General features: G+C 37.9%; 1 protein-coding gene across 4 annotated transcripts in view; it reads left to right on the top strand.

Moving 5' to 3' along the window:
- The window catches only part of NEGR1 (neuronal growth regulator 1), an 886,597-nt gene that overhangs the window by 505,709 nt on the left and 368,179 nt on the right, over positions 1-12,709 (top strand). For all 4 annotated transcript variants that reach the window (NM_173808.3, XM_011541200.4, XM_017000961.3 and 1 more), the window contains exon 3: positions 534-659. In NM_173808.3, coding sequence (NP_776169.2) covers positions 534-659 — 126 coding nt within the window. The remainder of the gene's footprint in view (positions 1-533; positions 660-12,709) is intronic.

The following is a 12,709-nucleotide window of genomic DNA, read 5'->3' as shown; positions in this document are numbered from 1 at the left end:
GTCTAGCCCTACTACCTGGCAGATAGAAAATTAAAGTCAAAAATACCTTTGTGACCATGAAATCTTACCTCCCAATCATGTACATGTCCTAACTCACCCAGCTTTTAAATCAGTATGTAGGAATAACCATTCTGCTATTTTAAGTTTCTTCTGTATTTCCTCTTTTTTAACCATTTCAACAAGGAAAACATCATACAGTGAGGATCCATGGATAAAATAGATTGATTATATTCTAGTTTACTTAACACAAATTACTCATAATACATATTTAATCAATGTTTAAACATTTTTGTTATTAAATATTCCATTTATCCTGAGGTATTTAACATCCAAAAATTAGGGGAAAAAAAACTAATAAAAAACTCCTAGAAAGTCTTGAGGTTCTAGAGAATCCATCTTTCAGGTGAGGCCCATAGGCCATATATACATTTCACCCTCATACCTTTCTTGCATGATATTATGGAATTAATCATACGTACTTCAACAAAACTTTATATATTTTTTTCTAATCACTGCGTATTTTGTCATTTCAGTTCCTCCTAAGATATATGACATCTCAAATGATATGACCGTCAATGAAGGAACCAACGTCACTCTTACTTGTTTGGCCACTGGGAAACCAGAGCCTTCCATTTCTTGGCGACACATCTCCCCATCAGGTAAAGTAGGAATGCATTAGTGTTGTTTGTGCTGTTCATTTTTCTCCTGTAACCTCACTAACCTCACTTGTTCAGAACTTAAGAGTCAACTTAATTTTTTGTATTTTATTCATGCGGTAGGCAGAATGCATTTATTTATTTATTTATTTATTTATTTATTTATTTATTTATTTATTTTTGAGACAGAGTCTTACTCTGTCCCCCAGGCTGCAGCTCAGTGGCGCGAACCGGTCTCACTGCAACCTCCGCCTCCCAGGTTCAAGCGATTCTCCTGCCTCAGCCTCCTGAGTAGCTGGGATTACAGGATTGCACCACCACATCTGGCTACTTTTTTTGTATTTTTAGTAGAGAAGGGGTTTACCATGTTGGCCAGGTTGGCCTCGGAATCTTGGCCTCAAGTCATCTGCTCAACTTGGCCTCCCAGAGTGCTGGGATTACAGGCATGAGCCATCGCGCCTGGCCAAAATGCATATTTTTATACTTACTCTTCATACTTAAAGGCATTGCAGTTCATAAAAGTTAAATGGGCTGGGCGCAGTGGCTCACGCCTGTAATCCCAGCACTTTGGGAGGTCGAGGCAGGCAGCTCACTTGAGGTCAGGAGCTCAAGTCCTGCCTGGCTGTCATGGTGAAACCCCATCTCCAGTAAAAATACAAAAATTAGAAGGGTGTGGTGGTGCATGCCTGTAATCCCAACTACTCGGGAGGCTGAGGCAGGAGAATCATTTGAACCCAGGAGGCAGAGGTTGCAGTGAGCCGAGATCGCACCAGTGCACTCCAGCCTGGGTGCGGAGCAAGACCCTGTCTCAAAAAAAAAAAAAAAAAAGTTAAAGAATACTTTTCACTCAGAGTCCAGAATAGAACCTATGTCTGTTGATTCTTAGTCAAGGTTATTTTCTCTTTCGTATGCTGGATAATCACCAATCAATAGACAAAAGGCTCAAATGGAAATGTCACAAGAGAAATGTCTTCATTTAAATATGTAAGAGATTTATTTGATCAGCATTCACACGTTGATAGGTCAGCATGAACCGCTAAAGTAATCAGGGGAGAATAAAGTTAATCAAATTATGAGTTTGCTGGGTCTGATTTCAAACTGCAGCTTTCAATCAAAGACTTTGGAGTTAGAATTAAATTTTAACTGATGAGGGATCTAAAAATCCAAGAGTTTATGTAGCTTGTGCAGGATTGCATAGCTAGTAGAAATGAAATATATAACATGTTTATAGATTTCCAGTACTTCTGCTATAGTGCACATCCTCCCAAAGAGATTATAAGTCAATTTCAGGAAGTCGACCTTAGTCATCATCAAAACAGGTCTGTTTTCAAAGTCACAATGCTAACAGAATTATCAAGTTGTGTGAAATTTAACTTTGAACTACATAGCTTTGGGTGCACCCTGGGAGTCAGAGATGTACTTTTAATAAATAGGACCCCACCTCATTTCAGATGAATGAAATTTGATTTTGTTTCATATTTTTTTTTTGTGAAAATACCCTGAGCAAGGCTGATGCAATGAAACTGCTTTTAATGAAATCAGAAAGGCATATTTTATACAGGTGTAGAACAAGCACAATTGAAACATGTATTTTATCTGCTAATGTTTTCTTTAATATTACCCTTCAGCGACTTTCAGTTTACTCATTTATGCAGTGTGTCTAATCAATCTTACCCACATCACATGCTTAGTATTGGTATTATGTGAGAAAAAATCAATATATCTGCAATATATATTTATATAATATGCATTATGTCCCCTACAATATTTCTGAAGTATGAGTGTGCTCTTGACTGCCAACTCTTCACTCTCTAGAACCACTGAAAAATCATAAAACTGATATGTGAGCACTTAAATTCATGGCAGGACTCTCCGTGGGGTATAAGTGCAGCAAATTCAGAACCAGGAGTTATACACATGTGCTCTTAAGACAAGTTCCTTATTCATCAAATCTGCCAATCCTTGTGCACATCTCTTAGCTGTAGTTACCACCAGCTAGTTTCCTACTTTCAAAAATTGCATGATAATAATCCTTGGCTATTGTGGGACTCAAAAAATATAATAGGCATAAATGTGTTTTAAAAAGTAAAACTTAATATGTAAATGTAAAGCTGATTCTTAATCATCTTTCCAGGAATTTAAATCTGATATGGTAATATAATTTTTGTAAGAGCAAAACACATAATCTCTATCTTCATATAATTTAAGATTAATATTATGAATTTAACTCTCCTGCTTTGCAGTGCTTGTTATTATGCACATTCTTCTTTTTAAAAGTGCTTGGATACATTTTAGTTTAATTAAATAGGAATGTTGGTTAGTGAAGTTATTAGAATAATGATAACGGATAACATCATGAAACTGAAAGAAGACAGATTGGGTTTATAAGTTAAACTGTGCATAGATTTGTTTTTCTGATTCTGCCATACTGAGCAAATGAGTAAAATTAGCATAAATATTAACTATTATCCAATGAATAACTAGACTTGGCAGAGATTTTTATAAACACTTACAATAATTTCAAATTATAATTTATTAATGATCTACATTCAAATTCACAGCACCTAAAGGAAAAAGAAAACCCCACAACGCTGGAGTTCCTGCTTTAAGGAACATGTCCGATAATTCTATTAGCTTTTTTGACTTATTAATTTATATTTAAAAGCAAAATTATGAATTCATTGATCTCTTTGTATTTTGCCTAAGAAATATCAATATTTTGCATGTTCTCAGCTCCTCTTTTGCTATATTATGAAAGAAAATGTGTCCCAAAACAGCAGTTAACCTGTGAACATGTTGAGTGTTAAAAGCAGTTATAAAAATAAATAAGTAAATAAAAACAGATGTAGATATACCTCATGTCAACACGAGAAGTAATGGCTAGTTTTTGTATGTGTCTGATTGATTTAGGGTTTTTAGCAATGCCCATGGTAATTCTTGCTGACTCACTCATGGTCAATTCCAGTTTTAAAAATCAGTAATAAGTGGTTGGTCACAGGATGATAGCTCCATACAGCTTCACCCTTATTTACAGAAAAATGAGGCTGTGTGTTCAACCACATCACAAACATCACTGGGGCCAGCTACAGTTGCCATTCTACTTTTTAACTCTTGCAACTCAACTATACTTTCACCAAAAAAAAACACCTTTCCTGAGATGTTTCTGGATATGTGAGCTTCCTTACAGTTCACCTTATCAATGATTATTTCTTTTTTCTGTTTTTTCCATTCTATATTTGAGAATTAAATTCAAATTTATGTTTTAAAAGGTTACAGAAATAAAACAGAGAATATTCTGTATGCTTTACCCAGTTAGATTCATTGGGATTTTGTCAATTTGCTTCATCAATTTCTCTGTGGGTAGACTAAGTATATACATATATATATTTCACTGAACCAGTTGAGAGCAAGTTGCATACATCTTGGCCTTTGTTATCTCTAGGTGTTTTTTATCTCTAGATATCTCCGTGTTAATTTCTGAAGAATAGACATTTTCTTTACATAACCACAGTAATTTTTAATTTCAGTAAATTTAACATTGGTATCATACGTTTATTCAATTAATCAACCATATTCCAATTTGGTCAACTAATACAATAGTTTTTTTATAGAATACTTTTTTGTCTAGTACAGAATCCAATCCAGAACTCTGTATTGCATGTATTTGACATAACAGTTTAGGCTCCTCTAATTTAATTTCTCAGTGTCATTACTGAACATTGACATTTTTTTTCAACAATGTATATACTCCCCACCCCTCCTTGTTTTTTGGAGATGAAGTCTCACTCTGTCGCCTAGACTAGAGTGCAGTGGTGTGATCTTGGCTCCTTGCAACCTCCACCTCCTGGATTTAAGTGATGCTCCCACCTCAGTCTCCCAACTAGCTGGGATCGCAAGCGTGCGCCACCACACCCAGCTAATTTTTGTATTCTGAGTAGAGATGGGGTTTCACCATATTGACCCCTTTTTAAATAGAATATTTCTCCTTTGTGGGTTGTCTCATATTTTCTCATGAGATTTCTAGTTATGTCCTTATGGAAGTAAGTGAAGTTGTATCCTTCTCAGGGAATCGGATCCGGAGTCACATAATATTCATGTGTCCCTCATTTGTGATGTTATTTTCAATCAATCAGTGTGTTGTCTGATTTCCACATCATATAGTTTATTCCTTTTTCTTCCCTATGCTACCAATAAACAGTCTGTAGGGAGAGATTTTAAGACCGTGACATCCAAATATCTGCTCTTTGTCAACTCTGCCCTTAGATTTGACATTATTGATGATTCTTTTGCACTCAGCCTTCACTCTGATGATCAAACTGATGATTTTTTTCTAGATTCAGCAGTCCTTCTGCTTTTACTAGTTAGCACTTGACATTCTACTGTAGAATTCCCCTTTCTCCTATTTATTATTTGTTTGTTTATTTTTATGGCATGAACTCGTGGATTCACACCTTTTTTTTTTTTTTTTTTTTTTTGAGACTAAGTCTTGCTTTTGTTACCCAGGCTGGAGTGCAATGGCACAATCTCGGCTCACCACAACCTCCACCTCCCAGGTTCAAACGATTCTCCTGTCTCAGCCTCCGGGTAGCTGGGATTACAGGCATGCGCCACCATGCCTGGCTAATTTTGTACTTTTAGTAGAGAGAGGGTTTCTCCATGTTGGTCAGGCTGGTCTCCATCTCCCAACCTCAGGTGATCCACGTGCCTCGGCCTTCCATTTTTGTTTTATGATACTTTAAGTTCTGGGGTACGTGTGCAGAACGTGCAGTTTTGTTACATAGGTATACACATGCCATGGTGGTTTGCTGCACCCATCAACCCATCATCTACATTAAGTATTTCTCCTAATGCTATCTCTACCCTAGCCCCGAACCCCCTGACAGGCCCCAGTGTGTGATGCTCCCCTCCCTGTGTCCATGTTCTCGTTGTTCAACTCCCACTTATGAGTGAGAACATGTGGTGTTTGGTTTTCTGTTCTTGTGTTAGTTTGCTGAGAATGATGGTTTCCAGCTTCATCCATGTCCCTGCAAAGGACATTAACTCATCTTTTTTATGGCTGCATAGTATTCCATGGTGTATATATGCCACATTTTCTTTATCCAGTCTATCATTGATGGGCATTTGGGTTGGTTCCAAGTCTTTGCTATTGTGAATAGTGCCACAATAAACATACGTGTGCATGTGTCTTTAGAGTAGAATGATTTATAATCCTTTGGGTATATACCCAGTAATGAGATTGCTGGGTCAAATGGTTATTTCTGGTTCTAGATCCTTAAGGAATTACCACACTGTCTTCCACAATGGTTGAACTAATTTACAGTCCCACCAACAGTATAAAAGTGCTCCTATTTTTCCACATCCTCTCCAGCATTTGTTGTTTCCTGACTTTTTAATGATTGCCATTCTAACTGGCATGAAATGGTATCTCGTTGTGGTTTTTATTTACATTTTTAAAAAGTCTTTAATGTTTTTCTTGGTCAAATTGTCTTCAGTTTGACCATTAGGAGTCACACCAAATCGGTCTCCTGTGTCCTTATGACATGAACCCATCATTTTGTTTACTTCTATGCTTTCTGGCATAAGAAAATACAACAGGCTCATATTTTCTGCCTTACTTCTGGAATCAACCATTTCATTTAACTTTGATTGATTTTATACCATACAATTGGAGTTAGAATCATTACATTTTGCTTTAAAAATGTAACTTTACTTAACTGCTTTATAGTAAAATTATCAAAGACTCAGAAGTCTAGGCTACTTCCTGTGATATTCTTCTAAACCACAATAAGACCTTAAATAACTTCAGGGTGAGGGATAGAAAAAATATTTTGTGTGGTTTTATCTAACAAGAAGCCTGGAACGGAGCCTGTAATCTGTGTGTATGCAAAGAGCACCAGAACTAGTAAGAAAAATATTTATCTCAAGGAAAATAAAGAGGGTAGTTGTCCTATGGCTAGAGATACAAGTAGGCTCATAGATCTTTACATGTGATCCTACTGCTTCTGCTCATCTATGACTGGTTCTTTATCTGTTTCAAATTTTTCAAGGTTTTTTCAAAATTCCTAGTGTGAAGTGTATGATTTCATTTCTACCAGGAATTTACTTATGAGATGGTGCCGGTAGGGCCTAGTGATTAAGATAATGCATTTTGATTTCAGTCGAGTTTGAGATCCAGATCTTCCTCTTATCAAAAGTAACATCTTAGAAAAAATTGTTAACTTCCTTAAACTTCAAATACAAAATGGCAGTAACAATTGTACCCAATTCACAGAATTGTTATATGAACAGTAAATGGAATAGTATGCAACATTGGACAGAGTTTATGACTTATAAACATTTCATATTCTTAGCTGTTAATATACTTTTGAAATGTGTTTAAATTTTTGAACAGATTATTAGTTTATTCTCACGCTGCTAATAAAGACATACCCAAGACTGGGTAATTTATAAAGGAAAGAGGTTTAATGGACTCATGGTTCCACAGGACTGGGGAGGCCTCAGGAAACTTACAATCATGGTGGAAGGGGAAGCAAAACTGTCCTTCACGTGGTGGCATCAAAGAGAAGTGCCAAGCAAAATGGGGGAAAACCCCCTAGTAAAACCATCAGATTTCTTGACAACTCACTCACTATCATGAGCACAGCATGGAGGTAACCACCCTCACCATTCAATTACCTCCTACCAGGTCCCTTCCAACAACACATGGGGATTATGGGAACTATAGTTTATGATGAGATTTGAGTGAAGACACAGCCAAGTCATATTAACCAGATAGAATTTGTAACTCTGTTCCTGAAATTAAGGGGCCTCTTTATGACTCTTGAAAATGTAATTCACATAGCTGCTCACAAATGAGGTTACCATGAAGGTAAAAATCACTGTAAACTTCTGGAGAATATCGACAAGTATACATGAGGCTTCTGATTTTAAAAATAAAGAAAAAATAAAAATTGTATTACATATGATTGTATTAATAAGCCTAGAAATAGTAAGAAAAAATAAAAAATTAAAGGAAAAAAATTTCAATTATAGATGAGTGTATTAGTCCATTCTCCCATTGCTATAAAATACCAGAAACTAGGTAATTTGTAAAAAAAAAAAAGTTTTATTGTTAAAAATGTTAATCACAGTTCTGTAGGCTGTACAGGAGGCAAGGCATAACAGCTTCTGCTTCTGGGGAGGCCTCAGGAAACTTATAGTCATGGTGGAAAGTGAAGGGGAAGTAGGCATGTCTTACAATGCTGGAGCAGGAGAAAGGGGGTCGGGGGAGGTTCTACACTCTTTTAAACAACCAGATCTCCTGAGAACTCTATCATAAGAGCAGGACTAGGGCAATGGTGCTAAACCATTTATGAAAAATCACCCACTTGATCCAATCACTTCCCACTACACTCCACCTCCAACATTGGGATTACAATTCACATGAGACTTGAGCAAAGACACAGATCCAAACCATATCATTCCCACACTGACACCTCCTAAAAATCTCATGTCCTACTCACATTTTAAAATACAATAATCCCTTCTCAACAGTCCCCCAGAGTCTTAACCTTATTGCAGCATTAAGTTAAAAGTCCAAAGTTCAAAGTTTCATCTGAGACAAGACAAGTCCCTTCTTCCTATGTGCCTGTAAAATCAAAAAGAAGTTAGTTACTTGCAAGATACAATGGGGTATAGGCATTGCGTAAATACTCCCATTCCAAAAGGGAGAAATCAGCCAAAAACAAAAAAAATTGGAAGGATACAGGCCCTATGCATTTCTGAAACCCAGCACTGCAGTCATTAAATCTCAAAACTTCAAAATAATCTCCTTTGACTCCATGTCTCACAATCAGGGCACACTGAAGCAAGGGCTGAGTTCCCAAGGCCTTGGGCAGCTCTGTCCCATGACTTTGTAGGGTTCAGTCCCTATGGCTGCTCTCATGGGCTAATGTTGAGTGGTTGCTGCTTTTCCAGGTGTAGGGTACAAGCTGTCAGTGGATCTACCATTCTGGGGCCCTCTTCTCACAACTCCACTAAGTAATGCCCCAGTGGGGACTCTGTGTGGCGGCTCTGACCCCACATTTGCCTTCCATACTGCCCCAATAGAGTTATTCATGAAGGTTCCACCCCTGTAGTGGGCTTCTGCCTGGATGCCTGGATATCCAGGCTTTTCCATTCATCCTTTGAAATCTAAGCAGAGGCTTCCAAGCCTCAGCTCTTGTACTCTGTGCACCCACAGGCTTAACACCACATCAAAGCTGCCAAAGGTTATGGCTTGCAGCCTCTGAAGCAGTGGCCTGAGCTTTATATGGGCCCCTTTGAGCCATGTCTGGAGCTGGAGTTGCTGGGATGCAGGGAGCTATGTTCTGAGGCTGCACAAGGCAGCTCGGCCCTGGGCCTGGCCCACAAAATCATTCTTCCTTGGTAGGCCTCCAGGTCTGTGATGGGAGGAGCTTCCATGAGCTTCTCTGAAATGCCTTTGAGATCTTTTCCTCATTTTTCTATCAGCCTTTACCTTCTTTTTAATTATGCAGATTTCTGCAGCCATCTTGAATTGCTCCTCTGAAATGGGCTTTACTTTTCTACCTACCACATAGCAAGGCTGAAAATTTTCCAAACTTTTATGCTGTGCTTCCCTTTAAAATATAAAAGTTCCAGTTCCAGGTCATTTCTTTGCCCACACATAGGAGCATATATTGTTAGAAGCAGCCAGGCTACTTCTTGAACACCTGGCTGCTTTAAAATTTCTTTTGCCAAATACCCTAAATCATCATTCTCAAGTTAAAAGTTCCACAGATCCCTAGAGCAGGGGCACAATACAGCCTTGCTCTTTGCTAAAGTGTAGCAAAAGTGACCTTTACTCTAGTTCCCAATACATTCCTCATTTCTATCTGAGACCCCATCAGCCTGGATTTCATTGTCCATATCCCTATCAGCACAACCATTCAAGAAGTCTCTATGAAGTTCCAAATTTTCCCTCATCTTCCTGTCTTCTTTTGGGCCCTCCAAACTCTTCCAACCTCTTCCCCTTACCCAGTTCCAAAGGCAATTCTACATTTTCAGGTATCTTTATAGCAATGCCCTACTCCTCAGTACCAATTTTCTATATTAGTCCATTCTTGCACTGCTATAAAGAAATACCCGAGACTGCATAATTTACAAAGAAAGAAGTTTAATTGGTTCCTTGTTCTGCAGGCTGTACAGGAAGCGTAGCAACTTCTGCTTCTGGAGAGGCCTTAGGATACTTACGGTCATGACAGAAGGCAAAGGGAAAGCCAGCACATGTTACAAGGACAAAGCAAGAGCAAGAGAGAGAAGGGGGAGGTTCTCCACTCTTTTAAACAACAAGATGTCATGAGAACTCTCTCACAAGAACAGCACTAAAGGGATAGTGCTCAGCTGTTTATGAAAACTCCCCCCATGATCCAGTTACCTCCCGCTAGGTCCACCTCCAACATTGAGGATTACAATTCCACATGAGACTTGAGTGGGGATGCAGATCAAAACCATATCAAGGAGATAAAAAAATCTAGAAGCATGTTGAAAGCCGTTTAAAAATATTCACTTATTTGTGGCTATTTATTTTGATGTCTATTTCCAAGTTCATTTCTTTCTATTCTTTGGTACCTGGAATATCCAGACATGTTCATCCTTTAGCCTGGTGGTTTTTATTAATTGATAAAGGTGTTACTGGCTCTGAAGCTAAACATGTGAGCACAACACTGGGCTATATGTCTCAAACACTTTTTTGTCTAATTTCCGTATGCTTAATGTTTTGATAAGGCATTACTAACTTAATTATCATAGGCATTAAGGCTATTGCCTAACTCAAGATAAAGAATGCTCAATTTATGTTCTTTTTCTCCTGTCATGTTTGAGATTCCTTTTCTTCCTATTTGTCAGGTCCTTATTTTATTAAATATTATCTTTTTCTTACATCTTTAACTTTTTCCTTTCTACTGACCCTATCCTGCTCACATTTAGAAAGACTCAGATCTCTTCTTTTTTTTTTTTTTTTTTGAGACGGAGTCTTGCTCTCTTGCCCAGGCTGGAGTGCAGTGGCACGATCTTGGCTCACTGCAACCTCCACTTCCCAAGTTCAAGCATTTTCCTGCCTCAGCCTCCCGAGTAGCTGGGATTACAGGCGCATGCCACCAAGCCCAGCTAATTTTTGTATTTTTAGTGGAGACGGGGTTTCACCATGTTGGTCAGGTTGGTCTCGAACTCCTGACCTCATGATCTGCCCACCTCGGCCTCCCAAAGTGCTGGGATTACAGGCGTGAGCCACCGCGCCTGGCCAGGTCTCTTATTTCTTAAATCAATCACTTGACACTGCTCACTTTTGTTTAATAAACAGTCATTGATCACTTGTAAAGGAGACTTTAAACAAGTGATCTAAGGCATAGGGATAGAATCAGAATGCCATGATTTTAAGGACCCAAAAGATGAAAACCTTTTTAGGAATAGTGAATAATGTCAATCAGGTCAAATAAGATACAAACCATATAGATACCTCTGGGTTAAGTAGTTTGGTGGTCAGTGAGGCAATTCAGTGTCATAATGGGACAGAAACAGAATATGGAAGATTGGAGTAAATGAAGAACTTAGATGTGGAGGCATATTAGATTGGTGCAAAAGTAATTGTGGTTTCAGATCCTGAATTTTAAATCATTATAAATAGGCTCAAACACACCTTTATTAATCAAAATTGGAACCATTAAAATCAACACATTTTTGCCAATGAAAAATAAGCTTGTTTATTCTGTAGCATTAAAAAAAATCCTTGCTTTGAGATTCAACAAACTCTTGGAAAGTTTTTCTGCATCCTGCTTGTTGTGGAAGTGTTTTCCCTGCAAAAAGTTGTTGAGATGTTTGAAGTAGTGGTAGTCAGTTGGCAAGAGGTCAGGTGAATATGGCAAATGAGGCAAAATTTTGTAGCCCAATTCATTCAAGTTTTGAAGCATTGGTTGGGCAATGTGCAGTCAGGCATTGTCATAGGGAAGGATTGGGCCGTTCTGTTGACCAACTGTGCAGGTGTCACAGTTTTCAGTCCATCTCATTGATTTGCTGAGCATACTTCTCAGTTGTAATGGTTTTGCCAGGATTCAGAAAGCTGTAGTGGATCAGACTGGCAGCCGACCACCGGTGACCATGCCCTTTTTTTGGTGCAAGTTTGGCTTTGGGAAATGCTTTGGAGCTTCTTCTCGGTCCAACCACTGAGCTGGTCATCACTGGTTTTTGTATGAAATCCACTTTTCATCGCACATCACAATCCGATTGCGAAATGGTTTGTTGTTGTGTAGAAAAAGAGAAGATGACACTTCAAAACAACTATTTTTCTGATTTTCGATCAGCTCATGAGGCACCCATTATCAAGCTTTTTCACCTTTCCAATTTGCTTCAAATGCAAAGTGACCATAGAATAGTCAATGTGGAATTATTCAGCAACTTCTCATGTAGTTGTAAGAGGATCAGCTTTTATGATTGCTCTCAATTGGTCCTTGTCAACTTCTGATGGCCAGCCACTACACTCCTCATCTTCAATGCTCTCATCTCCTTTGCAAAACTTCTTGAACCACCACTGCATTGTACATTCGTTAGCAGTTCCTGGGCCAAATGCCTTGTTGATGTTGCGAGTTGTCTCTGCTGCTTTATGACCCGTTTTGAACTTGAATAAGAAAATCACTCGGATTTACTTTTTGTCTAACATCATTTCCATAGTCTAAAATAAACATAAAATAAACTGCAAGTAATAAGTCATTAGCAAAAAAAGTAAAGAGAGAATGTCTATTAAAATGATTTATAACATAACCACATTTATTTAAGAATGTATTCCAATATCAAACAGCAACTTCCAACAATGCAAAAACCACAATTACTTTTGCACTCACCTAAAATAACTATGCATCCTACTAGTCAAGTTAGAAATTTGCTTTTCTACCTTTACATATGTTGTTTCTTCTACTAGGAATATCTTTGTCATTTTATTCAATTGACAAATTTCTATTTATTCTTCAATTTTTCAAAAAATCATTCCAAAACTTCCCGGGAAAAATTGTGTGTTTCTTCTT

This window comes from Homo sapiens, chromosome 1 (assembly GCF_000001405.40).
Source record: "Homo sapiens chromosome 1, GRCh38.p14 Primary Assembly".
Classification (NCBI taxonomy): Eukaryota; Metazoa; Chordata; class Mammalia; order Primates; family Hominidae; genus Homo; species Homo sapiens.
Note: the sequence above shows the minus strand (reverse complement) of the source record. Positions and strands in the feature narration are given on the sequence as shown.